The following is a 27,856-nucleotide window of genomic DNA, read 5'->3' on the forward strand; positions in this document are numbered from 1 at the left end:
GTTCCATCAAAGAAAAGCTTATTACTTATTTGCATAGTATATTTCTTTTGTGTCAAGTTGAACAGTGGTATTAAGTGAATGCCCACAAAGCATCTTAAAGGCTAAGGAAGGATTACACTAAAGGCTAAGCTCTGAGACAGGTTTATGCACCTTGCAGGGCACTTTCCTTGGGCTTAACATCTTTTAGCCTATCTGTAGAGGATATCAGAGGGCAAAGTTTCTGTCATGAAATAGGACTAATCAACTTAGTTGAATTTGTATTTAAAGCAAGGTTAAACTGAATTAAGACCATTTTTGAAAGAATTGTCAGATGTACCTTTCAACCCGCAGCCAGAGAAGCTTCTGCAGTTGAAGGCCAGAAAGTCTTTGTATGGTTCTTCCATCTGCAATATCAAAGACAAGAAGTCTTCATAGAGGATGTAAGTATGTAACTCTACACATTGATTAGCCCAAAATTGAGGCCAGTTACTCTGAGTAAAATGTTTCACATATAAAATAAAAGGACATCTTTATCTTAAAGGAAATGCTTAGGTTTATGTGTAGACTTTACTGGCTATTACTAACAGTATGTGAGCTAATAAATTCCTACTTGACTGAAGTTACTAACGAGTAAAGATGATATACCACTCCTACCAAATAAACACTGCCTGGTCTTAGTTTTTGGAGTTTTTTAAGTGAAAGTAAAATGAAGTTTATTTAAGATAAAGTCAGTTCAAAGTTGTATGTAAATTTACTGTAGTTTTATTATCTTCAAACAGATGAAGTACCTACCTCTATGTATTACTGCTGTTTATTTACTATATATTATTATTTTAATGGCCCCCCATTACTATAGATATCTATATTCCAAAAATTGTCATGATGTATGAACCATGAAATGTCAGAGTAGAAAATTTCAGAAAAACATTGAGGAACAATCAATGATAATCATGAAATAAAATCTATATTGATATTCCTTAATTCATTCTTTAAGACTATCTAACTAAAACACCTACTATTCAGTTCCATTATATGAGTACTGCTAGAATTTCACTTTAGTCTCTACAGATTTATATATAATGGACTTTGCTTCACAATCTTTTGAAGAAAGTGAACATAATTTATACAAACTGTAGTTGCACATAAATTATATTGAGTCCAGTAGAAATTACATAATTTTGACTTCTTTAATGATGTCAAAGGTTTACCTTTTTCTTTACAATACTTGTAATTGTGCCTAGAACCTGACATTTCAAGAAGACATGGATAGGTCTAATGAAAATGAGCTTCCAGAGTAAAAAGAAATAAGAAGTGACAGCAGCCAGCACGTAACCCACTGTCTTCAATGCTTTCCAGGGTATGTGCTATGGTGAAATGCAGTTAGAAAAGTCCTAAAGCTTATGCCTTTAGGAAAAGTGAAATACATTTTAGCAGCACTGCCAAGTGCTTCGGTATGAACTGTCTTTCTAAAGTTCTCCTCCGTCCTTGGCAGAGATGGGAAGGGGAGCAAGATATGGAGGGACCCAGGAGAAGGCCTATTTGGGTTGTGCTCAGAGAGAGTTGGAGGAGATGGACTACAAAGGCCTCTGCAAAACATAAGTAGGAGGAATTACTTTGGAGTTGTTGGGGTACTGCCTAAGAGAAGGCCAAGAAAACTCGCAAGAAGCCAGGCCTGAATTGTAAAAATTGCTCTCATTTTAATTTAAGAATTTACATCTATTTATCTTACATTTATTTATCTCAGAACTGTGGAAACATTTAATTCTACTGATCTACTTTTCACATACAAAAACTTACCAGATACAGCAGTTACTTAAAAATTAATTCATTTTAATGTATGTAATCAGAAAACATGCATCATACATACCATAAATATTCTACATACGATTAGTCAAATATAGGGTTTTCCAAACTCAAATTGCACTGATTTTAATGAAAGATCACAGTATAGCCAATAACAGACAAATATAATAAAATTGGCACCCGGCTCCTGGGCACTGGGAAATCATTCCGTGAATATCTGCTGATTTGGCAAGGGCTTTAGTTCATGAAGTTCATGTCTTACTACTACTGCCCTAATCAGTTGAGACAGAATTAGCACTAGGTAAATCATCTATGTGCTGCCTGGAGGGGTTTGTTGAGGGTAAGAGTCTGAAGACAGAGATTAAGGAGTCCTCATCCTCCTAATGTGCTGGGCATCCAGGATTAGAGCTCTGGGTCAGAGAAATCCAGGCTGAATGCAGACCTAAGCACCACTGCACTCCCTCACTTTGGGATTACCAGACACGCTCTGCACTGAAAATTTATATTCCAGTCTGCACTTTTACTTGAGCATTTCATCTGCTACTGCAAAGTGACCTTAGTTTACAATTTGTCTACATGTGTCTAAAATAGAAAGGGGTGCCCTGAAAATATGAAAGTTCACATTTAAAGACTCGTGCTTGATCATATGACACAGTACCCTCAAAACAATGATTTTAAGGCAACACAAATTTGGAGTTTCAAGTATCTACCTGGCTGATGAAGGGAAAGATCAGATCAACCTTAGAACGTTGCCTTAAAAGTATTCTGATTTTATTTGCTTCAAAATGTAATTTTGAAGCAAATAGGGCAGTGCAACTATTCTGTATGATACTGTAATGGTGGATAAATGCCATTCTACATTTGTCAGAATCATAGAATGTCCAACACCAAGAGTGAATCCACATGTAAACTATGAATTTTGGGTGGCAATGATGTGTCAGTGTAGCTTAACTGATTGTAGCAAATGTACACTCTGATGCAGGATGTTGATAGTGAGGAAGCTGTGCATGTGTGTGTTGGGGGAGGATATGAAAACTCTCTGTAGTGTCCACTCCATTTTTCTGTGTACTGAAAACTTCTCTGAAAAATAAAAGTTAAAACTATGTAATTTGAGGTATGTGCATGAAAACAGGCACAAAAGAAACTAGGCAATCCTTTTCTTTAAGGAAAATTTGGGCATCAGTCGATATGATAGTGATAAGTAAATAAGTACTAGTTCATAAGTGCAAGGATTAAAACAAATGAGGGAAGCCAAGTGGAGCCCAGAACTGTAACACACAGGAGCTGCAGATGCCAATGACTCATCGTCCTGCCCAGGGACTTCCATGACATGTGGACATTTCTGCAGGCACTTGGAATAGCTTGCATTTTAGATTAAAATTTGGTGGACTGATTAAAAAACAATGAACCACTCCCCTGGCATTTCAAAAAGAAAGCAAGCCAGACCCAAGAACCATGGAATCAAGAACAGATGTGGTACCAAGGATAGCTTTAATTGTACATTAGATAAGACTTATCCTTTCCCATTGGCCAAATAGCACTGAGTTCTCCCACTTATTTCACATAACTTGTGACTAATGGCAAAAAAAAAAATCCTGCTGTTTTGTTGCAGACAATGGAACCTACAGAGCCTCATATAGATATGCCTAAGCCTGGCAAACCTGGTATTTCAGAAGAAAGGCATTTGTGCCAATTATCTACTGGAATGACATTAGAAGTCTGCCACATTGCCTCAATAGCACTAGTCACCATTGCTGCCCTACCTTACATCTTCTTGGCCTCCTTCTGAATTCACCTGCAACCATGGAAGTCATTTCCCATCTGAAGCACCTGCATCTCCCTTTCTCAGTCTGAAGGTTTTCTCCTGCACCACAGGAGCTTGTTGTGTCTAGCTCAAGCATAATCCATATGCAAAGGAGAACTGTGCCCTCAACCAATGGCCAACAGAAGTTGATGGGCCAACTCTTTGCCCTTCATGAGGACAATTCTGAGATGTGTACCATAGGTTTCTTAGAGGGCTCCCAGCAGGGTTGAGCACCAGTTGCCCACAGTGAAAACCCACACATTAATTCACTCAGCCTTTCTTGACTTTTCCCTTCCTGGTCTTGCTTTTCTACTCCTTCACACGGGCTTCCTGGGATTACCTCCCAAATAAACTACTGTACTTAATTTCTTGTCTTAGGGCCTCCTTTGGGGATTCCAAAGTAAGACAATCTCATCTCCTTTTGGTGATTCATCTCCACGGCTTTTCCTAAAGGTAACATGTAAGAGGAAGAGGTGGTGAGTCTCTAAGCAATTCTTGCTCCTCTCTTTCTTCCTTTTTCCTTCTCCTTTTTCCTGACTTGTCTCAGACATCACATAGGATACAAGCTGAGCCATATATATATAATTTTTTTTTTTTTTTTTTTTTTTTTTTTGGAGACAGAATCTCCCTCTGTTGCCCAGGCTGGAGTGCAGCGGTGCGATCTTGGCTCACTGCAACCTCTGCCTCCTGAGTTCAAGCAATTCTCCTGCCCCAGCCTCCTGAGTAGCTGGGACTACAGGCGCCACACCCGGCTAATTTTTGTATTTTTAGTAGAGACGGGGTTTCACCATGTTGGCCAGGCTGGTCTCGAACTCCTGACCTCAGATGATCCACCCACCTCGGCCTCCCAAAATGCTGGGATTACAGGCGTGAGCCACCACACCCAGCCTGAGCCCTATATTTTTAAAAATACCCTTATTGAGGAAAATTTGATATAAAAGAACTGCACCTATTTAATGTGTACAATTTGATGAGTTTTGGCATACGCATAATCCATGAAGCCACCACTTAATCAAGGTAACAGACATAGCCAACACTTCCTAAAGTTTTCTTGTGTCCCTTTGTTTTTGTTTGATTTTTGTGGCAAGAACACTCAACATGAAATTTACCTTCTTAACACATTTTGACATGCACAATGGACGAACCTGAAGGACATTATGCTAAGTGAAAAAACCAGTCACAGCAGGACAAATACTGCATGATTCTTCTTCTCTGAGGTGTCTAAAATAGTACAACTCATAGAAGCAGAAAATATTATAGTGGTTGCCAGAGGCTAGGGGGTGATGGAAGTGGAGAACTGTTGTCCAATGGATAAAGTTTCTTTTATGCTAGACGAGTAAGTTCTAGATAACTGCTGTACAAAATAGAGCCTATAGGCCAGGCGTGGTGGCTCACACGTCTAATCCCAGTGCTATGGGAGGCTGAGGTGGGTGGATCACTTGAGGTCAGGAGTTTGAGACCAGCCTGGCCAACATGGCGAAACCCTGTTTCTACTAAAAATACAAAAAAATTAGCCGAGCGTGGTGGTGAGTGCCTGTAATGCCAGCTACCGAGGAGGCTGAGGCAGAAGAATTGCTTGAACCCGGGCGACAGAGGTTGCAGTGAGACAGGATCACGCCATTGCACTCCAGCCTGGGCAAGAGAGTGAGACTCTGTCTCAAAACAAAACAAAAAACAAAATAGAGCCTGTAACATCAAAAATTCTATCTCACTCCTCACTTATGAGTAAGTTCAATCTTCTGCTAGAGACCATCGATTCATGACACAAATCAAAGTTCAACAATTTTTCAAAATGAAACACCTAGTGGTGTCCCCCATTGTTCTGTTGTAAATGGTCTAGAGGGAAGAAGGCAGCTGTGCACCGAATCCCATGAGGAGCACCTGAGATTTCAAGTTGCGGGGCAGGGTCCTCGCTAGAGTTATGAGCCCAGCCCATCTCCGACCCAGCCTGTGTTCTCTGCTGGCATCCTCCATGGCTTACAGGCACCTAGCACAGATTTTTATTCTAATCCTGACTGTGTGGTGGTAACTAAACTCTCTGAGGCCACTATCAGAAAGGAAAGTATACTGACCTCACAGAAATACAGTGAAAGTAAATGGAGATAAAGAACTTTAATATGTATGTATGAATGGCAAAAGGTGATGTTAGGTGATCCATGGACTTGGATTTCCAATTTGATTAGTGGGGTTAGTTCTGAAAAAGAAGCTAACAAAGTGATTGTATATTTAAATACCATTATATTTTTAGTATTTGAACCATGTGAATGAATTAACCTCTATTTTAAAAATTAAATCAAACACACAATTTAATCAAATACACACAAGGAAATAAAGGTCACTACTTTGAAAAGCAGAACATTTTCTTCCTAGTATCTTTTTCTTTAAATATAGTTGCAGGTATCTCAGATTTTTAAAAACAATAAGAAAACCCAATTATTTATTTATTTTTAATTTTTAATTTTCATGGGTACATAGGTGTATATACTTACGGGGGCACATGAGATATTTTGATATGGGAATACAGTGCATAATAATCACATCAGGGTAAACGGCCTATCCATCACCTCAAGTATTTATCATTTCTTTGTATTACAAACAATCCAATTATACTTAGTTATTTTTATTTTTATTTGTTTGTTTATTTATTTATTTATTTATTTATTTATTTTTTGAGACGGAGTCTCGCTCTGTCACCCAGGCTGGAGTGCAGTTGCACAATCTCGGCTCACTGCAAGCTCCGCCTCCCAGGTTCACACCATTCTCCTGCCTCAGCTTCCTGAGTAGCTGAGACTACAGGCGCCCGCCACCATACCTGACTAATTTTTTGTATTTTTAGGAGAGACATGGTTTCACCATGTTAGCTAGGCTGGTCTCGATCTCCTGACCTCATGATCCGCCCGCCTCGGCCTCCCAAAATGCTGGGATTACAGGCATGAGCCACTGCACCCGGCCTGTTTGTTTATTTTTGAGATGGAGTCTCTCTCTGTCACCCAGGCTGGGGTGCAGTGGCGCCATCTCAGCTCAACGCAACCTCCACTTCCCAGATTCAAGCAATTCTCCTGCCTCAGCCTCCCGAGTAGCTGGGATTACAGGCACGCGCCACCACACTTGGCTAATTTTTGTATTTTCAGTAGAGACAGGGTCTCACCATGTTGGCCAGGTTCGTCTTGAACTCCTGACCTCAAACGATCCGCCTGCCTCAGCCTCCCAAAGTGCTGGGATGACAGGCATGAGCCACCGCACCTGGCCCTACGATTAGTTATTTTTAAATGTACAATACATTATTGTTGACTGCAGTCATCTTGCTGTGCTATCAAATACTAGATCTTATTCATTCTATCTAATTATATTTTTGTACCCATTAACCATCCTCCCTTCCCCCTTCCACCCCACTACCCATCCCAGGTAACCATTGTTCTACTCTCTGTCTCAGAGTTCTCAGATATTTTAAAAGTGGGAGTTGAGAATGAAGAAGAAGCTAAAATGACCTGTTCAACTAGTACTTGTTTTTATATTTAAAATCATTCAAAGGATATTAAAGAACAAGAAAATGTCAGGAAAAATGTTATCCCTTTAACAGTAGTCCTTTTTTCTGATCACTAGTTTCTGAAGGTAAAGCATATGAATATTTGTATTTATGTAAACTTGGCTGTAATTTGATCACAGTTCTAATTAAATACAGTCTCGTGCAGTCTGTATCCCTTCTAATTAGATATACTTTTAGACATTAAAAATATTCTCCTCCCTCATTTTCTGGTGTTAAATCTTATCAACTAAATAGGAATATTTTTCCAAAGATTGAACGTATGGGAGAATTTATGCATTTGTACCTCTGGAAATGTAAGAATCAAAGTAAGTTGCAAGAAAGGAAGTTGGGGCCAGGCACGGTGGCTCACGCCTGTAATCCCAGCACTTTGGGAGGCTGAGGCGGGTGGATCACCTGCAGTCAGGAGTTCAAGGCCAGCCTGGCCAACATGGTGAGACCCTGTCTCTATTAAAAATACAAAATTAGCCGGGCGTGGTGGTGGGTGCCTGTAATCGCAGCTACTCTGGAGGCTGAGGCAGGAGAATGGCTTGAACCCGGGAGGCGGAGGTTGCAGTGAGCCAAGATTGCACCATTGCACTCCAGCCTGGGCAAAAATTGAAACTCCATCTCAAAAATCAACAACAACAACAAAAAAGAAAGGACGTTGGTATTTCTGGAATCTTGCAAGGCTGATTTAATTTTATTATTGCTTGTAGTTTGGTACCGTATTACCTGTGAACTCTGCAACAAATTCCAAGGGCATACTGATAAAACACTGAGTTCTACAATTATATCTGGGGTTTTTGTGTAACTAAAAGCTTGGTGTAGCTAGTCTTCCCAAGTGTTGTGAAAATACAAAAGGCTTTTATTGTGTTCAAGAAGAATTCAAATAGTTCACAAAAAGTAGAGTTATTTGTTAAAGTGTCTATCTGGTTCTTTTTAGAACTCCATTAGTGGCGAGAGATATTGAAGACAAACCCGGTGATGGCTGTGAACCCTTTATTGACACCAACAGGGCAGCAGACAATCCCACTGATCCCCTCACCATTTGGGCCTCCAACTGTGGACAGGTATTTCTCTTCAATATAATAGTTTGATCAAAGAACAACATGGACAATCATTACGTTTTGGAATGATGTTAAGTCTAGTGTTGTTTTATTGCCTAATATTATTTCAGTGAACTGTGGTGCAGTAATTCAAGTCAAGACACCCTGCTGGCCTCACCTTCAAGACATCTGCTGTCATTTCTCCTCTGAGACCTGCTTGACCTACTCACTCAGCAAATAATTAATGAGCACATACTATATGACAGGCATTGTGCAGGTGCAAACACTGGAGTAATAGTCTTCTAGGGCTGCCATAATAAAATACTGCAGACAGCCGGGCACAGTGGCTCACGCCTGTAATCCCAGCACTTTGGGAGGCCAAGGTGGGCAGATCACAATGTCAGGAGTTTGAGACCAGCCTGACCAAAATGGAGAAACCCCATCTCTACTAAAAATACAAAACATTAGCCAGACATGGTGGTGCAGGCCTGTAATCCCAGCTACTCGGGAGGCTGAGGCGGGAGAATCGCTTGAACCCAGGAGGTGGAGGTTGTGGTGAGCTGAGATCGTGCCCTTGCACTCCAGCCTGGGCAACAAGAGCGAAACTCCATCTCAGAAAAAATAAACAAATAAATAAAAATAATAAAATACTAAATACTGGATGGTTTAAACAACGGAACTTTATTTCATGGTTCTGGAGCTGGGAGTCCAAGATCAAGGTGCTGCAGGGTTGGTGTCTGGTGAGGTCTCTCTTTCTGGCTTACAGGCAGACACCTGCTCACTGTATCCTCACATAGCCCTTCCTAGTTTGCCTTTGCAGAAAGGGATCCCTGGTATCTCTTGTTCTTAAAAGGACACTAGTACTATCGGATTAGGGCCCCACCTTTATAATATCATTTAATCGAAATTACCTCCTTAAAGGCCCTATTCCAAGTACAGTCACATTAGCAGTTAAGGCTTCAACATGCTAATTTTTTGGTGGCGAGGCGAAACAAGTCCATAACAACTGGGTACCCTGGATTTCCCGTGAAGAAAGAATTATTTCTTTTCAATAAAAAGTAAATTATAAGTATTTGGGTTGCACACTCTGGAAATAACTTACCTTCCCTTGTTTTTTTGTTTTTTGTTGTTGTTGTTTAGAATATTTTGACCTTCAGGAGAGAAAGCAGAACTCATTATTTATCCTTGTTTATGGAGTGTGAACAGTAAAGTGGAACTTCTAGAGACCACTAAAGTTTAGAAAAATAAGTTGTCCACCCAGGTACTCAAACATTGATCCCAGATGGTAAACCCAACCAAAGTATGTCCATTAAATGAGAAAAGAATTTGTGGTCACAGTAGACTGTTGGTCATGAAAAATCAGAGAGCAGTGTTGATTTATTTAAATATTTTTTCTAGACATCCCTAAAACTTTCCTTTCCTGCTTTCTCATTTTGTTGTCAGCTGGGTCAATCCTTCGTTAGTGGAGTACTTCCCGATCTTTCCACCATATTTCTCCATAAATTCATAAAGACTCCAGGACTTTTGTATTTCATCTTGAGAAGAGATGATAGAATCCCATATGGCAATAACAAAATCTCATTGTCTCAGCCATGGAAATTGTGTACTCCAACCTCATTTTACCTATTTTATTTTATATCTTTTTGTTCTCAGAGATGTATTGCCTTCCACCGTAGCTCCAACTGACCCAAGACAGTTTTGCGTTCCTTCCCAATTTGGATCCTCTGTTCTACCAAACACAAATATGGCAAATGTGTTGTCCAGTCGGATCTACCCAGGTATGAGCAATAGAAGTTTGGCTCTCATCTGTGGAGTCATTTTGAACTGGATGGATGCATTAAGTTTGCCATCAAATTACTCCTAAATTTTGGAGGCAGATCTGTGTGGTGGTTGTCTCTGCAGTCTCTGTAGTCACCACCTAGGTTCAGATCATGGTGCTACCACTGTGTGACCAAGTGTAAGCTGCTTGACTCCTCTAAGTGTCAATTTATTCATGAATAACGTGAAGAACTGCAGTATTACTATTTGTCTTATCTTACACATGAGGAACTGATAAAGTTATGAGGAGATTAGATCTGAGAATTAATGGGGCTTAAGGCAGTTTACATGGGCCCGATGGTCATAGTGAGAATTTGGCTTTTATTCTGAGTAAAAAGGGAAGCCATCAAGGGGTTTGAGCAAAAGAGCAACATGGTCTGACTTAAATGTTACCAGAATAATTCTGGCTTCTGAGATGGGGACAAACCTGATGGGATCAAAGTTCTGGGAATAAACTGATGGGAATTAGCAGGCCATTAGAATAGCTAAAAGATTATGACAGCTTGGTCATGGATGGTGGCAGTAGGAATAATAAAGAGTGGCTAAATCCTGTAATTATTTTGATTGTAGAAACAACAGGATTTTCTCACAGTGTGTATGTGGAAGGTGGAAGAAAGAGATACTAAGAATGACATCAAAAATTTTGGTGCAAGTAGTTGGAAAGATGGAGTTGCTGCTCACTGAGTTGAGGAAGACTGTGGAAGGAACAGAGTTCTTGCGGAGGGAGAGAATCAGAGGCTCAGCTTGCTCATATTACATCTGAGATGCCTAACAGACACCCAAGCGGAGAGGTCAGGAAGGCAGCAGAAGTGCAGGGAGAACGTCTGAGGACAATTTAGGGATATACTTTTGGAAGTAATCAGCATATATGAGGCTAGATAAGATCACCTATGGAGAGAGTGCAGATAGAAGAGGTAAAAGGAGCATCTCTGGAACCCACTAACAGAGTCCAGAGATGAGGAAAAGCAAGCAAGGGAGAAGCAAAACAAGTGAGGGGAACCAGTGAGGTAGCAAGAAACCCAGGAGAGCATGGTGGCCTGGAGGCCACAGGAAGAAAGTGTGGAATGATTACATCAAGCTAATTACCATATGCCTTATCTCACACATTTATCACCTTTTTTGTTGTTGTTGTTTGTTTGAGATGGAGTTTCACTCTTGTTGCCCAGGCTGGAGTGCAATGGCACAATCTCGGCTCACTGCAACCTTTGCCTCCCTGGTTCAAGCGATTCTCCTGCCTCAGCCTGCCAAGTAGCTGGGATTACAGGTGTGCGCCACCACACCCGGCTAATTTTTGTATTATTAGTAGAGACAGAGTTTCACCCTGTTGGCCATGCTGGTCTGGAACTCCTGACTTAAGTCATCCACTTGCTTCAGCCTCCCAAAGTGCTGGGATTACAGGTGTGAGCCACCATGCCCAGCCATATTTAACACTTTTTGTGGTCAGATTTACGATCATTTTACATTGGACTATTTTAAGGAGAGAGTGAGCAACTGTGTCAAGTGTGCCATCTGCAGAGCAAGTAAGATGAAAACTGAGAATATATCATTAGATTTAGCGCCATGTGGCGGTCATCAGAGATTTTGATGTGAGCAATTTCAGTAGAGTCGTGTTGGTGAAAACATGACTTGTGAGGGCTCAGGAGAGACTAGGAGGTGAGAATTTCCTCAAAATGTTGAAGCTCAAACTGGTGTATCTTCTATCCCCCCCAAAACCATATTCATAAGTTTATGCTTATCCCTGCTCCACAATTTCAACAACTCTTAATAGATGGGAGCAATGTGAAGGGAAAGCCTGACACAAAAAGAAATAGGATTCACGCCTGGGTCAGGGAAGAGACTGGCCTGCCTGGATTTGAGCATGTTTCTACCACAGGTCACGAATCCATTTAACTGCAGTGAGAGCAAGCATCCAAGCAAGGGCCAGATCTGGAACTGGGCCCACTCAGTAAATTGGTTCAAGGACCAAAGGAGACAGTCCAACAGCAGATCCTGGATGGAAGCCAGCTGGCAGCAATAACCCAGTAATCTGCAGCCCATGATTACCGACAACAGGCCAATAGACTAGTAAAACAGCTGCACTGCAGGCCAGGTGTGGTGGCTCATGCCTATAATCCCAGCACTTTGGGAGGCAAAGGCGGGCAGATCACGAGGTCAGAAGTTCGAGACCATCCTGGTCAACATGGTGAAACGCCGTCTCTACTAAAAATATGAAAATTAGCCAGGTGTGGTGTCACATGCCTGTAGTCCCAGCTACTTGGGAGGCTGAGGCAGGAGAATCACTTGAACACGGGAGAGGGAGGTTGCAATGAGCCAAGACCATGCCATTACACTCCAGCCTGGACTTACTTAGGTCAGGTCTCCAACCTCAAGGCTGAAGTATAAGAGAAAGCATGGGTGAGATAAGGCCTCAGTCCTACAAAAACTGAGCTACTAAGTAAGTTAGCAAAATAGAAACTAAGACAGGGATCTGTTTACAAAACAGGGTTGTTAGGTAGCAGTGAATTATACAACTGAACTAACATTAAGTTTGATATTGCCTGTTTGGGAAAGAGAAAGTATGGGAGAAGGTTTCTTGAGACCAGACCTCAGAGGGTTCTAAAATCCAGGCAGTTAGTATTGTGCTCTCTAGACTGGACTTCTTGCACAGACTTTCTCTGTGTCCGTGGGCAGTATGCCATGAATTGGTAGCTTCATGCATGCCAGCTGTCTAAAAGAGAGTATCTCAAAGCTATTGAACTACAAAAAACCTAGAGCTTTACAGTTAGAAGGATTCCTGGTGATCACTTCATCTAACTCCTTGATTTTACAGATAACAAAGAACCTCATTTTTAAAAAAGATCTAGTATGATTTCTTTCAAGATAGATTATTGGTAGAAATTTAAAGCACTTTACTTGCTTGGTGCAAAGTGAGTATAAAAAATTGTTTCTGGCCAGGTGCAGTGGCTCACGCCTGTAATCCCAGCACTTTGGGAGGCCGAGGCAGGCAGATCACAAGGTCAGGAGATCGAGACCAGCCTGGCCAACATGGTGAAACCCCATTTCTACTAAAAATACAAAAATTAGCTGGGTGTGGTGGCATGCGCCTGTAATCCCAGCTACTTGGGAGGCTGAGGCAGGAGAATTGCTTGAACCTGGGAGGTAGAGGTTGTAGTGAGCCAAGATCACACCACTGCACTTTAGCCTGGATGACAGAGCGAGACTCTGTCTCAAAAAAAAGGATAGATTATAAATCTTCTGACCACAAAAAGTGATAAATATGTGAGGTGAGGCATATGTTAATTAGCTTGATTTAAGCATTCCACAATGTATATACATATATCAAAACATCAAGTGGTACCCAAAAAATACGTATACTTTTAAAAGACCAAAAAAGGCACAGATCACGAGATTCACAAATCACTTCATCTTTTTCCTATTAAAGTATGGCAGGAAAATGCCACCAGTCATGAGACCAACAATTAAAGAACAAAAAATTATCTGGTATTTGTCATGCTGTCACCAACGTGACTCTAAGATACCGAACTGCAATGATCTGATACCATTTCCAAAATTGTGCGCAATTGCTGGTTTGTTTTTTTTTTTTCAGATACTGTTTTACATTGTTATAGTTTATTTTATTATTTTCAAATGCATGTTTTTAATTTATTTGTGGGGTGGGATGGTGGTTTTCTTTTTTAAGGTTGGGGCATTTTACCACCTGAATCCATAAAGGCAGTGGCCAGAAGGAATGAAATGATTCAACGGCATCATACTGCCAGGTAATTTGGCAATGTTGTTTTATTTATTCTCTATTCATTCACTTGCTCATTTATTCACTTGTTATCTTCATATAACAAATGAATAGATGAATATATATAACAAATAAATACACACACACAAATTACTTACATAAAGTATTTCAGGCAGATTACAAAAAGAAACATAGTCTGCTCTGCCTATGGGGTAGCCATTCTCTATTCCTTTACTTTCTTAATAAACTTGCTTTCACTTAAAAAAAAAAAGAAAAAGAAATGAATACAAACATGTATGCAGGTTGGTTAAGGATAAAAGCAAGATTAGAAATCACGGCCGGGCACAGTGGCTCAGGCCTGTAATCCCAGCACTTTGGGAGGCCGAGGTGAGTGGATCATGAGGTCAGGAGTTCAAGACCAGCCTGGCCAAGATGGTGAAACTCCGTCTCTACTAAAAATACAAAAAAACCAGCCAGGGGTGGTGGCAGGCACCTGTAATCCCAGCTACTCAGGAGGCTGAGGCAGAGAATTGCTTGAACCTGGGAGGAGGAGGTAGCAGTGAGCCGAGATTGCACCACTGTGCTCCAGCCTGGGCAACAGAGTGAGACTCTGTCTTGAACAAATAAAAAGAAATCACACAGTGAAGCTAACAGTAGTATTAGTACACAGATTGCAAAAGACCATCAGTGTCCCATAATTAAAATGCCTACGACTCCTCTGAAATTCATATTGGCATTACTGTCTTAAATGACTTCAATTTTGCGCAAAGATAGGAGCCAAGTTTGCCTACCTGACTTCAGATTATGCCATCAGAACTCAGACAACACCCATGTCAGCCCAACAGTGGCCTTCAGCTATAGTACCCAGGAGAAAGAAAAGTATAACAATGAATAGGGTATGGCCCCAGGGTAAGAGAAGGCAGAGTCAACTTTCTCATCGCTGAACCCAAAGGGGTCCAATTGAGGACCAAAAAGCAAAGTGAAGTAAGCAAAACTACCGAGTCTTTTCCTCTGCTCTTCCCCAGCCACTTGCATTTATTTATAAATATTGAGACTTGCAATGTCTAATTGTCTTTCTTGAATCTCACTAAGATTATTTTGCAGGGTTTGAAAACCTCTTCCCAGTACTTTAGGTTTTTTGAGGATTAATCTCTGGCAAGGAACTAGCTGTGCTGCGTAAGCCCCATCCCTGCTAAATTTGCCTCGTCTGTTTAAAGGTAACACTCTAAAGACTGGCCTTTGGACTTCCATTGTGAGACTCAGACAAAGCTTCAGATCTTACTCAAAACTCTCCTTCCCAGTGGCTTTGTGGGGGATTCATGTTTCCACCAAACAAACTTCAGATAAACAGTGTGAGGACTATTTTAGGGAAGACAAGGGGTCATTAAAATTACATTTATAGTGGTTTTCTTGGGCTGTATAAAATATATTGTTTTGTTTTTAGGACAGAAATGGAAATGTATGCTATTTACCAGCAAAGGAGAATGGAAAAAATTAATCCCAAGGGACTAGCAGGCCTAGGGATACCCTTCCTCTATGGCTCCAGTGTCCCAGCTGCCCCCGCTGCCTACCATGGCAGGAGCATGCTCCCTGCCGGTGACCTGCATTTTCACAGAAGCACCCTCAGAAACCTTCAGGGAAACCCCATGCTAGCGGCAACTGCACCACACTTTGAGGAGAGCTGGGGGCAGAGATGTCGTCGACTCAGGAAAAATACAGGGAATCAAAAAGCTCTAGACAGTGATGCTGAGAGTTCCAAAAGTCAAGCAGAAGAAAAAATCCTAGGTCAGACTCATGCAGTTCCCTATGAAGAGGATCATTATGCAAAAGACCCAGACATTGAAGCACCCAGCAACCAGAAGTCAAGTGAAACGAATGAAAAGCCAACGACAGCTCTTGCCAACACCTGTGGAGAGCTCGAGCCCACCCATAGGAAACCCTGGGGGTCTCACACCACTACCCTGAAAGCAAAGGCCTGGGACGATGGGAAAGAGGAGGCTTCGGAGCAGATTTTTGCAACCTGTGATGAAAAGAATGGGGTTTGCCCTCCAGTTCCTCGACCATCTCTGCCAGGTGGGTGTCCAGGGGCCAATGGCAGATCCTCATTAACTACAGGTTGCCAAGTCCGTAGGTTACTACATAATAAACTGTAACCATCCTGCCTCTTTTTATCTTTCTTTTTTTTTTTTTTTTTTTTTTTTTTTGAGACGGAGTCCCGCTCAGTCGCCCAGGCTGGAGTGCAGTGGCGCGATCTCGGCTCACTGCAACCTCCGCCTGCCGGGTTCACGCCATTCTCCTGCCTCAGCCTCCCGAGTAGCTGGGACTACAGGAGCATGCTGCCACGCCCGGCTAATTTTTTTGTATTTTTATTAGAGCCGGGGTTTCACCATGTTGGCCAGGATGGTCTCAATCTCCTGACCTCGTGATCCGCCCGCCTCGGCCTCCCAAAGTGCTGGGATTACAGGCGTGAGCCACCGCGCCCGGCTTTATCTTTCTTTTTCTTAATCCTGCTTGGAATTACCTTCTCTTAGCATCATTTTATTCTATCAGTGCTAATAAGCCATATCAGTGAAACTAGCCTCTGTTTATATTTTGCTATATAGAGAATTTTCAACAAAGGCTGGGAAGGTAAATATCTTGGGAAACATAATAGAATTTTAATTTAAGATTTTAATGTAATTTAGTGTTCATTTCTTCAACAAAGCAGAGAGGCGTCTTGCTTCAAAGTGTGAATTCTATCTCCCTGATATTTAAGTATATGAAAAAACAGGCAATTAAGCAGAAGTATTACCTTTCAGTGTCCAATACTGTTGATACTTTCAAATTTAAAAATACTAATGCACTTCATGACAGAAACGCACACTGAATAGTTTTCTAGCACTCCTTTAGATAAAAAAAAATATATTTTAAGACACAGGGATTGTGAAGGGCATGTAATACAGCCACCATACCAACTGTTTCCCTACAAAGTGTTAATTTGCCATTCTGATGAAAATGTAGCTAAATTATTGTCTCATCTCGAAAGCAGGATAATCACCTATCACGAAAACATAGTAACATTAATCTGGAGAATAGAATCCATGGGGCATTTCTGTTGTAATCTGAGAGAAGCTGGTGCAAACCTGGAACTTGTTTACTTACAATAAATGCTATCAGTAAAGATCTTTTCAGAGAAAGAAAAGAAAGGAGGCAGCTGAAGCTTTTAGAAAACATCTCCTAGTAATTCCTAATATCTTGTAAGGCGTTTGCAAATCAAGACCACTCTGGGGTGATAGAATATAAGGAAATTAATGTAACTATACATAAACCTGTATGTATTTTATGCCACAATTTCTTTCCATTTTAAAGGAACACATGCACTGGTTACAATTGGGGGGAATCTTTCTTTGGATGAAGATATTCAGAAGTGGACCGTGGATGATGTGCACAGCTTCATTCGCAGCCTTCCAGGTTGTTCAGACTATGCTCAGGTGACTTAATGTTTAAGTATTTCCATACAAGAAAAACAGTTTGAAATATCTTTCCTGCATAATGAATTAGGTCAAACTTGCATTGTGCCTCCAGAAAGGATTCCTACTAATCTCTCTTTTTTATGCCAGTGTCTACCCTGGGACAGGTCTCTGATTGGTGGAACTTGGGTCATACACCCACACCCCAGCATCAGGGGAGGCTGGGAAAGCCATTGTCTGTCTTTAGCTTCTTTCCTATCAAGACTCCTAAGAAGTAGGAATTCTCCCAAAATTAGAAGAAGGTTCAGAAGCTGAACATCCAAAAAGAATGGGAAATAACGACTACATTCCCTACTTATCCACATAGCAAACATTTTTGGAGCACAGACTTCTGGGTGAGAAGTTTTAGGTTACTCACTGTAAGTAACAGGAATATATACTTCATTCTAAAAGGAACAAGAAGGCAATATCTGAAAAGTTAGAAATTCATTATTTTAAATTCTGTATTTATGCTGGGACAATATATAAAAATGCATACAACATATTCAATCTGGCATAAAATACCATTTTAAAAAACTATAATGAACTATCAGGGCAGTTAGAAACAAAACTAGCCTCACTAGTATTGAAAAATTTGTGACAAAAGTCATAGGTTGGTAAAATTTTGAAGTTTATGTCAATGCTACATTTTCATGCATTTAGTTTACTTTTTTGAGTTATTTAATAATACAATTCTAAGCAATAAAGTGCCTACTAAATCTAGTATCATTTTTGGTTTGCATGTTAAAGGAAAAGAAAGCAAGAAAAGGATATTAAGGTTTAACTACATCATAATTAACTGATACTAGAGCTGATTATTTTCCAGATCTGTTTTGTGAAATGTTTGTCTACAGTGAGATACTGTTAACTCTTTTTCTTTTTATTATTATTATTTTTTAGTTCAGTTTACGGGACTTACGGAAAAACTATATAGAGTAGTTACTAAGAATATAGCTTCTGAAGCCAGAAAGTACAAATTCAAATCCTGGCTTTTCTATTTTCTGGTTGTGTGACCTAGGACAAGTTGCCTCCCTTCTCTGTGCCTCAGTTGTTTTATCTGTAAAATGAAGATAATCATAATAATACATTTTCAGAGGATTTTTGTGAGCATTAGAGTGCATGGCACCTTGTAAATACTCAATAAACATGAATTTCATCATTATACCCAAGAGACGGCCAAGCCTCAAGTTACTTATGAAGCAAGTTGTGTTCCTCAAGTCACCCATTTTTGTCTTTTGCATAACCTGATAAAAAGTTTTTGGCCTACTCTTCCCTGTTCAATGGTTATAACCTTATTTTTAAAAATTAGTCATTAGTCATGGGTAAGCCACTTTTTAAATGTATCTATACCACTTCAAGTGCCATGTCAACCATGGGTTCAATTAAGTTGCTAACTTCTGATAACAACCGGAAGAGCAACCCTTATTTAATAAGCATGTGATTGCTAAGATCTGGCACATTGAATTTGAACTCTGATTATTCTTAGTGATCCATAGTCAGAAAAGTGCAATTTATAATAATAGCTCTTGTAATAAATAATATTACATGCTTTTCATAGTTTAAAATCCCAAATGTCCCCTTGTGGGTACACAGAAGTCACATAAACATGAGTACTCCAAACTCTGCTGACTCATTATCTCTCACTGACAGGATGTCAGCGCCCTCTTCCCTACCCCAAGAAGTGGTAGCAATTATTTCTAGATACGTCTCAAATTTGTTTAGGATCAAGTCCTGCTTTAGTTTCCCCATTAAAGTATACTCCCTCCAAGTGACAGCAGGTGGCATCAACTGAAAGATGTCACTGCTGTGCTGTGCCTGCCCCCAGCTATGCTCTGTGATGTTATTTTATACAGAAATGGGGAGATGCCCTCTGGATGCAACAGCCCTGAAGCAGCACTGCTTGTACCCCACTCTCACAAGGACGCTTGTCTAAAATGTCCCATCAGGTGTTACTCATTGTTACTCATAGCCCCTTTCTTTTCTTTTTTTTTTTTTTTTTTTTTGAGACAGAGTCTTGCTCTGTCGCCCAGGCTGGAGCGCAGTGGCATCATCTCTGCTCACCACAACCTCCGCCTCCTGGGTTCAAGCGATTCTCCTGCCTCAGCCTCCCGAGTAGCTGGGACTATAGGTGCACACCACCACGCCTGGCTAATTTTTTGTATTTTTAGTAAAGACAGGGTTTCATCGTGTTGGCCAGGCTGGTCTCAACCTCCTGACCTCATGTTCCGCCCACCTCGGCCTCCCAAAGTGCTGGGATTACAGGCATGAGCCACCGCGCCCAGCCCCATAGCCCCTTTCTTTAAATGAGTTGGACCAAGGTGCTGAGATTAGCTGGCGTTAAACCTACTGTCCCCCAACTATCCTCTTACTCCCCATCTCTGCCTTAGGTGCCTACTCAGCAACTTCTCACCACTCACCTCCTGTAGGTAGAAAAAGAAATTCAGCAGAAAAAAAATAACAACTAAAACCCAAAGCCCCAAGTGCAAATGAACTCTTTTAAATAGGTGTAGAGAAAGGATTGGTGGCTCAGCTGTTAAGGAACATTCAGGAGAGCCTGCAACATATTTTGTTCCAAGTAAATGTCTAGTTCAGAGGACTCAGCAGATAAAATATCCTCTCTCTAAAAAGAACTGAAATTACTGAAAATATGTGCACATTTATATCATTACACATGGCCCAAACTGCTCTGGTGAGAAAGAAGGGGGTACATCTGAGCGACAGGGACATGTATGTGTCCTCGCCCCAGGCCCTGAGTACATCCACCATGGCTGAGGGTTAGATCCTCACACATTTCAGTCCCCTGGCTGCCAGCCTACCTCTGCTTGAAAATTTATCCACGTGGTTCCTCCTTTGGATGCTCACAAATTGTCAGGTGCACACTACCACACCCAGCTAATTTTTTTTAAAGAGATGGGGGTCTACTATGTTGCCCAGACTTGTCTCAAACTCCTGGGCTCAAGTGATCCTCCAGCCTTAGCCTCCCAAGTAACTGAGATTACAGATGTGAGCCACCGCACCTGGCTCTTTAATTTATATTAGCCATTTTCTATAATTTGCTTAATTAAAATAGGAAAAGAAATAATTACTTAATGCAGTTTGTTGGGGGACGGCTGGCTCAGCGCTGAGAGAGGTGGCCAGGGAATGGTGGGAGCTGCAGTGGTGGTGGCAGTGGCTGGGGTGATAAGCACAGCCTGGGGCTGCCCCTCCTCGGGGGCCATGCTGCATTGCACTGCATGGGTAGCCACGAGCGAGTCTAGGACGCAACGGGAACTGTGGAAGGTGCATCCACAAATGGACCAATGTGTGTAATGATGGAATCTCCTTACTAACCATTACCACTGCCTCTCCTTGATAAGTGAGCCAGAGAGTGAGTGGGTCAGGGGAGAAGAAAAGAGGTCAACATGAAGCTAAAGCAGCGAGTCATGCTGTTAGCAATTCCTGTCATCTTTATCTTCACCAAAGTTTTCCTGATTGACAACTTAGATACATCAACTGCCAAGCAGCGTTTCACTACTTGATCCCCTGAGGGCTTTTCACCGAATGATGACTGGCTTGTGGATGGAGCTGTCACCCAAGTTGGACCACACGTTGCAGTCTTCCTAGGAGACTGCAGCCCAGTGGGTGGTTCCCCAGGAAGTGTACTGTGAAGAGACACCAGAGCTGGGGGCAATCATGCATGCCATGGCCACCAAGCAAATTATTAAAGCTGATGTGGGTTATAAAGGGACACAGCTGAAAGCCTTACTGATCCTTGAAAGGGAACAGAAAGTTGTTTTCGAACCTAAGTAGTATAGCCGAGACTATGTAGTGGAAGGGAACCATATGCCGGTTATGATAGACACAATGCGGAGGTAGCAGCCTTTCACTTGGACAGGATTGTGGGTGTCCCAGAGCCCTGCTGATGGTGGGCAGATCCGTTCATCTTCAGACAGAGATCAAGCCTGTTACCATGGAGCAGCTGTTGAGCCCCTTCCTAACTGTAGGACACAATACTTGTTTTTATGGGAAGTGTTATTACTACCGAGAAACAGAATCAGCTTGTGCCGATGGAGACACAATGGAAAAATCTGTCACACTTTGGCTTCCAGATGTGTGGCCTCTCCAGAAACACTGACACCCGTGGGCCAGGACTTACTGAAAAGGCAAATTGGCCAGGTGGGAGTATGATGAGCGCTACTGTGAGGCTGTGAAGAAAACGTCCCTTTATGACTCTGGCCTGTGCCGCCTGGACACCATTAACACAGCTGTCTTTGATTACCTGATTGACAATGCTGACTGCCATTACTATAAGAACTTTCAAGATAATGAGGGCGCCAGTATGCTCATCCTTCTTGATAACAACAAAAGCTTTGGGAACCCCTTGCTGGATGAAAGAAGCATTCTTTCCCCCCCTCTATCAGTGTGGCATCACTCAGGTGTCTACCTGGAACAGACGGAACTACCTAAAGAATGGTGTGCTGAAGTCTACCTTAAAATCTGCCATGGCCCATGACCCCCTCTCCCCAGTGCTCTCTGATCCTCGTCTGGACGCCATGGACCAGTGGCTCCTGAGTGTCCTGGCCACCGTGGAGCAGTGCACTGACCAGTTTGGGATGGACACTGTATGGTAGAAGACACAATGCCTTTCTCCCACTTGTAACTCTCAATAAAAAATAAGTGAAACTTCTTTTTACAAAGATAGAGAAGCAGCACAATCAATTCCAAATGGTATGAAATGGATTGGAAATGGCCAGCAGCAAGTTCTGGTGACAGGGGACAGGGTGGCCTTGGATGTCTTTGGTGTTTTCTGTAGTAGAAACTAAAGCAAAGACCACAAGTTTCTGAGCATGGAGATGTTCCTGCTGAATCACCTTCTGAATTCCTCAGCAATTGCCCATTCTAGCAATAGGCATCATAGTTGGTCAGTCTTAATTCCCAGGCCAAAGGACAATCAGACATTTTCATAGATGAATACTGGGATTGGCTCTGGAGTGTGTGTTTTGAGTGGAACATTTCAGTCCTTTCTCCACACCGGTGCATATTGTGGAAAAATATATGTATACATTCATGACTAAAATCTATTAGAACACAAGGTTCCCAGTACAGGAGCTTTCCAAGAAGATTCTACTTTTTAGCTGGTCCTGAGTCATGCCCTGTGAGGCATGGAGCACAGAGTGGAAACAAGACCAATGTGGTTCCTCTTCTCATGGCACTCATAGTCCAGAAGAGGGGCACCAGTGAGTGATCCCACATCCATACGAGCACGTTGTGAAAGGCGGGTACAGAGCATGGTGGGAACACATATGAGGGACTCTTGGCCTCCTAAAGGAAGAGGCCTCTAAAGTGAGACCTGAAAGTCAAGAGGAGAGGTGAGGCAGGAGGGAGATAAAGGAGGAATTTCCAGGTGAGGGCCAGAGCCAGAGAAAACTTTAATATGGTTGGGACTTTGAGAGTAGTTCCCAGTGCTACAGAGGGCCAGGGCCAAGGTGGGAGAGGTGGGGAGAGCAAGATGAGACTGGAGAGGTGGACAGGGCCAGGTCACAGAGCCCAGAAGACCCAGTGAAGGATTGTGGCTTTATCCTGGAGGCAGTCAGGTTTTAAGTAGGGAGCGGCATGGTTAGCTTTATATTGCAGAAAGATCACTCAGGTTGCTTTTATGAAAATAAGTTGAAGAGGACAAGACAGAGGGGAAGCCTATTCAGATAAGCAATGATGGAGTTCTATCCAGGGTGGGAGCAGTGGGGGCAGGAGGATAAGAACACAACCTAGAGGAGGCAGGGCAAGATGGCCAAAAAGAAGCCTCCACCGATGGTCCTCCCTTCCGGAACACCACATGGAGCAACAATCCTCACAAAAAAAAACCACCTTCATAAGAACAAAAAATCAGATGATCAATCACAGTACCTGGTTTTAACTTCATGTCACTGAAAGAGGCACTGAAGGGGGTAGGAAAGATAGTCTGGAATTGCCCACACCATCCCTCTGCCGTCCCCCAGAAGTGACCACATGGTATGGGGACAGAATCTGTGCTTTTGTGGGTGGGGGACACGGTAATTGTGGGACTCTGCATTGGAACTCAGTGCTGCCCAGTCACAGCACAATGAAAACTATGTAAGAGGCCAAACTGGCACGATTTAGCTTCTGAGTTAAAGATACATGTTAGGGAGCCTTCAGCATATACAGCCCATCATTGAAGCTGAGCAAAGCTGAAATGAATCAGGAAGACCAAAGGGACCTGAGTCAGAAGCCTAAGAAACCCTAACCTATAAAAATGGACAAAGAAACAGGAGCTGGCAAAGGTGACCTTGAAGGAGAGAACAGGGGTACCCAGGAGGGAGCAGCCTCATGACAGAAAGGAAGAGCAAGCACTGTTCATGAAGGCACAGTCAACAATGTCAGATGCAGCCAGCAACTTCAGAAATAGAACAACTGCAAAATGTCTGCATGTTTGGTGGGACAGAGGCACCCGGAAGCCTGAGGAAAGCCGGCTTAATGGAATGGTCGGGGCAGAGCTCAGATTCCCTGAGACTGCAGAATGACTGGGAAATTAGAACGTGAAAGCAGGGAGCATCGAAACCCTTTGGAGAAATCTAGCTGTGAAGGGAGTGAGAGACATGAGGCAGCATTTGGAAATGGAGTTTGAGTATTTTCATTATTTTTGTTTGTTTAATGATGGTGGAGACTTATTTAAATCCCAATGGGAAAGAGCCAGCAGAAGAGGAGAGACTGAAGAGAAAAGAGGGAATTATCTATCCTCTCTGGAAGTGGGAGGCATGAGGACCCACAGTATATGTGGAGAGATCGTCTTTAAATGGTGGAGAGACCTCTCTTCCATTGTATCGTGACAGTGGGAGAAAATAAAGGTTTTTGGTTCATTGGTCAGAATTAGAGGGAGTTCTTATCTACTGGTTTTTGTTTTCTGTTTTTTGTTTTGTTTTGTTTTGTTTTGTTTTTTTAGTTAGGAAGCGCTATGATCTACTGAAAATGAGGGAAGGCTCTGCCTACAAAGTCTAAAGTTTGAGGAGGGTGGAGATAGCTTGAAATAGAAGGGAGAGAAAGCTCAACTGTGAATATAGAAGGATTTCCAGGCAAGTTGAAGTTGAAGATCATGAAATTACGGTCCTATCAATCTGCCTAGATTTTGTATCCCTCTATCTGCCTGGAATCTTTGTCCACCAGCAGCCTTCCTGGCTTTCAGAGAAAGGAAGGCACGCCACGTCCACTACAGTTTCAGGACTAACAGACCTGCTGGAAAGGTCCGGTAGGGAAAGTTCTCAGCAGCATTTCCCTCCCCTCCCTTTACCAAGCATCTAAGGCATGGCCAGCAGATACCACATCTGTAAATGTGAGACATGAAATTTATCCATAACAGGTTTTACCCACATCCCTTTACTTACAGCATTTACTCATTCATTCATTTATCCAGCAATATTTATTGTACATCTTCTTACCATATGCCAGCCTCTGTATTAGGGGTACATTGGTCAAAAAAACACTGACCTGGCCCTCAAATAATCACTATTCCTGGTTGGAATTGAGTTCTATAAACAGAGAATTACAGTCGATTACAAAGGTTATTAAAGAGCACAAGCAATATGCTACTGAGCACAGAAAAGAGAGCAACTAAAAAAAGGTTTTACAAATTTTTTTGTCATCCTCAAGCAGTCTTAATGTTTTCTCCAAAACTAAAATATCTAGGTGGTAAAAGAACTTTTTCAAAAAAAGACATTCAGACAGAGTTAACACCTTTTGTATTTATGAAGGTATTTAAAGATCATGCAATTGATGGAGAAACTTTGCCATTACTCACAGAAGAGCATCTTCGAGGCACTATGGGATTAAAGCTAGGGCCGGCACTAAAAATTCAGTCACAGGTATGGTGATTTTATATAACTAATTATGTATTAATGGCACAAAGCTTAATACAAATATGTTACTTTTATCTTGTTGTAATATAAATAATACTTATTTAACTTCTTTATTGCTTTCCCTCTGTGGTTGAGGACATAATAGAAGTGAGGGACCCTGAAAACATTGGATGGGATGGTGGTACACATTCCTAGATATAACTGGGAAGATGATAAGCAAGGATGCACTGGTAAATGTTTAACAAGTAGTTCTCTTTGAAAAAAAATGAGCCCCAATTTGTAATATCTCCAATTTCTGTGGTGTAAATTACTCCCACCGTGGCTGAGAAACTCCTAATGTCACTGAATACTGTCATCCTCCGAGAAATCATCATCCCACTCGGGAGTGCTGCCCTCCTCGCTCCGGGCCCATGACACTTGGGGGTGACTATCCTGAAATGGGAAAAGATGCATAGCAGCACCCCACTTTAGAGTATTTCTACCAGATACAATCTCAAATATAATAGGTGTGAATAACGTCAAGAGCAGAAGTAATAATAATAGTAAAATAATTAGGTAAAAACAATTAAAAAGTGATGAGCCTTAAGCATATATTACTTTTGTTGTACATAATTTATTTAATATGATGCTTTGACTTAATTTTTAATAATGATGTATTTAACAACTGGCTTGCAAACTTCCTAAACATTGAATAATTGGCTCTTGTGAGTTAGCCAACCCCAGCACGCCACTTCTCACTACCTCCACCACTCCATCCTGGTCTCAGGCACCATCATCTCTCATTGGATGACTGTATTGGCCTTCTTTTTTTTTAATTTTAATTTTTATTTTAAGTTATGGGGTACATGTGCAGGTTTGTTGCACAGGTAAACATGTGCCATGGTGGTTTGCTGCACCTATCAACCCATCACCTAGGTATTAAGCCCAGCATGCATTAGCTATTTATCCTGATGCTCTCCCTCCCCCCATCCCAACCCCTGACAGGCCTCAGTGTGTGTTGTTCCCCTCCCTATGTCCATGTGTTCTCATTATTCAGCTCCCACTTATAAGTGAGAACATGCGGTGTTTGGTTTTCTGTTCCTGCATTAGTTTGCTGAGGATAATGGCTTCCAGCTCCATCCATGTCCCTGCAAAGGACATGATCTCGTTCCTTTTTATGGCTGCATAGTATTCCATGGTGTATATGTACCACATTTTCTTTATCCAGTCTATCACTGATGGGCATTTGGGTTGATTCCATGTCTTTGCTATTGTGAATAGTGCTGCAATGAACATATGTGTGCATTTATCTTTGTAATAGAATGATTTATATTCCTTTGGGTAAATAGCCAGTAATGGGATTGCTGGGTCAAATGGTATTTCTGGTTCTAAATCTTTCAGAAATCATGCATTGGCCTTCTAACTGCTCTCCCTGCTTCTGCCCTTGCCCACCCAGAGTTGATTCACAAAACAGTAAAAGTGGTCCTTTTAATATGTAAGATGGATTGTGTCAGTCTTCTGCTCAAGATTCTACAATAGCTCCCCATTGCCTTCAGAGCCAAAGCCAAAGACCTATGTCATTTGTGCTCCTCCTAACATGCCACCACCATTACCGTCCTGACCTCACCATCTACTTTTCTCCCCCTCAGTAATTCCACTATTGCTCAGCTGCCCCTGGTTAGAGCCACCTTGATACCCTGTTTTACATCTGTAAACACTATAATTCTGAGAGAAAGAAAAAGCCCACCACATCCTACAATTGTGACCCCCACAACTATATGTTAATAGATGCTCCATGCCTGAAATTACCTCAGCCTCTCTGTGATGTGTGTTTAATGCTGAGTTAATGAAAAAAATTCATAGAATTGATTACTATAATTATTTTGTCTTAAAAGGTATCTCAGCATGTGGGAAGTATGTTCTACAAGAAAACTCTTTCATTTCCTATAAGACAAGCATTTGATCAACCAGCAGATACATCCCCTCTTCTGGATCCTAATTCCTGGAGTGATACAATGAACATTTTTTGTCCCCAGGATACAATAATTCCTAAAGGAATTGAGCGAGGTAGTATGAGAAACTAAAAGCCCTCAAGGAGGAAGAATAGTCTTAGCCAGTTTTCCAAAGAGCCTAGGATATTACAAAGGATGTGTGAGGATTTCCCAGTACTGGATGGAGAATGAGAAGAGAAAGTCAGCCTTTCTGGGGCTTTCATGGAGGAGACTTGCCCAAGGGGCTTCCCTGCCAGGGCTGAATGACCCCAGCACCAAATGACTGGAGACGCATCCTTAGGAGCAAATGCTAATGAAGGGGAGATTTACAAACATCAAGAAAGCTGCAGATGGATGTTTCCATGAAGAAATCTCTGAAGAAACCAAAAGAGCTGAAACTGAAAAAAGAGCTCCCTCCCTTTTTTCACTCATTTTCCATTCCCAAACCCTGAAAGAGATAAAGGCAACCCAATGAAACCACAGAGAGGCAGAAGAGAACGGGCAGAAGTACAGAACAGAAATGGAGAAGCTGACCACGACTCCATCTCTTCTCATTCCAGATTTCCAGCGTGAAGCAGGCCCAAGCTAGGGAAGGTGAGAAGCTTTAACCTTAAATTTTCGAGTTTTGGCCAGGCGCGGTGGCTCACGGCTGTAATCCCAACACTTTGGGAGTCTGAGGCGGGCGGATCATGAGGTCAGGAGATTAAGACCAGCTTGGCCAACATGGTGAAACCCCGTCTCTACTAAAAATACAAAAAAAAATTAGCTAGGCCTGGTGGTGCGCGAATGTAGTCCCAGCTACTCGGGAGGCTGAAGCAGGAGAATTGCTTGAACCTGGGAAGCGG

The 27,856-nt window shown here is 41.9% G+C and overlaps 1 protein-coding gene and 1 pseudogene across 3 annotated transcripts, besides 1 other annotated feature; both read left to right on the forward strand.

The window, feature by feature from the left end:
• Positions 1–169: 169 nt before the first annotated feature.
• Positions 170–27,773, forward strand: SAMD7 (sterile alpha motif domain containing 7). Of its 3 annotated transcripts, NR_130713.2 has the most exons (10): positions 170–419; positions 3,965–4,039; positions 8,056–8,182; positions 9,812–9,936; positions 13,656–13,734; positions 14,811–14,923; positions 15,151–15,779; positions 17,055–17,176; positions 24,937–25,047; positions 26,916–27,773. NR_130713.2 is itself a non-coding variant. In NM_182610.4 (9 exons), exons 3-9 carry the CDS (start codon positions 8,097–8,099, stop codon positions 27,102–27,104), a joined length of 1,341 nt encoding a protein of 446 aa, NP_872416.1. In that variant the 5' UTR covers positions 170–419; positions 3,965–4,062; positions 8,056–8,096; the 3' UTR covers positions 27,105–27,773. The 3 variants fall into 3 exon arrangements, 2 of the variants coding, with proteins under 2 accessions (NP_872416.1, NP_001291295.1); NM_182610.4 differs by lacking the exon at positions 14,811–14,923 and having other exon boundaries at positions 3,965–4,062; NM_001304366.2 differs by lacking the exon at positions 14,811–14,923.
• On the forward strand, positions 20,437–22,027 carry FAM20BP1 (FAM20B pseudogene 1; annotated as a pseudogene).
• Positions 23,998–24,100: a silencer, noted in NCBI's record as "fragment chr3:169653188-169653290 (GRCh37/hg19 assembly coordinates)". NCBI's record gives its function as "represses an EF-1alpha promoter that drives an FKBP-Casp9 reporter gene in an ReSE screen in phorbol 12-myristate 13-acetate-treated (for megakaryocytic differentiation) K562 erythroleukemia cells {active_cell/tissue: K562(+PMA)}" and the evidence as "EXISTENCE:reporter gene assay evidence [ECO:0000049][PMID:32094911]".
• Positions 27,774–27,856: the final 83 nt, after the last annotated feature.

This window comes from Homo sapiens, chromosome 3 (assembly GCF_000001405.40).
Source record: "Homo sapiens chromosome 3, GRCh38.p14 Primary Assembly".
NCBI lineage: Eukaryota > Metazoa > Chordata > Mammalia > Primates > Hominidae > Homo > Homo sapiens.

What these genes read in the sequence shown, in the direction of transcription:
- SAMD7 (NM_182610.4), top strand. Translation starts at nt 8,097, where the DNA reads ATGGCTGTGAACCCTTTATTGACACCAACAGGGCAGCAGACAATCCCA. An exon ending in CAACGGCATCATACTGCCAG is followed by an intron (nt 13,735 to 15,150) that starts GTAATTTGGCAA and finishes TTTTGTTTTTAG; the next exon opens with GACAGAAATGGAAATGTATG. An exon ending in CACTAAAAATTCAGTCACAG is followed by an intron (nt 25,048 to 26,915) that starts GTATGGTGATTT and finishes TTGTCTTAAAAG; the next exon opens with GTATCTCAGCATGTGGGAAG.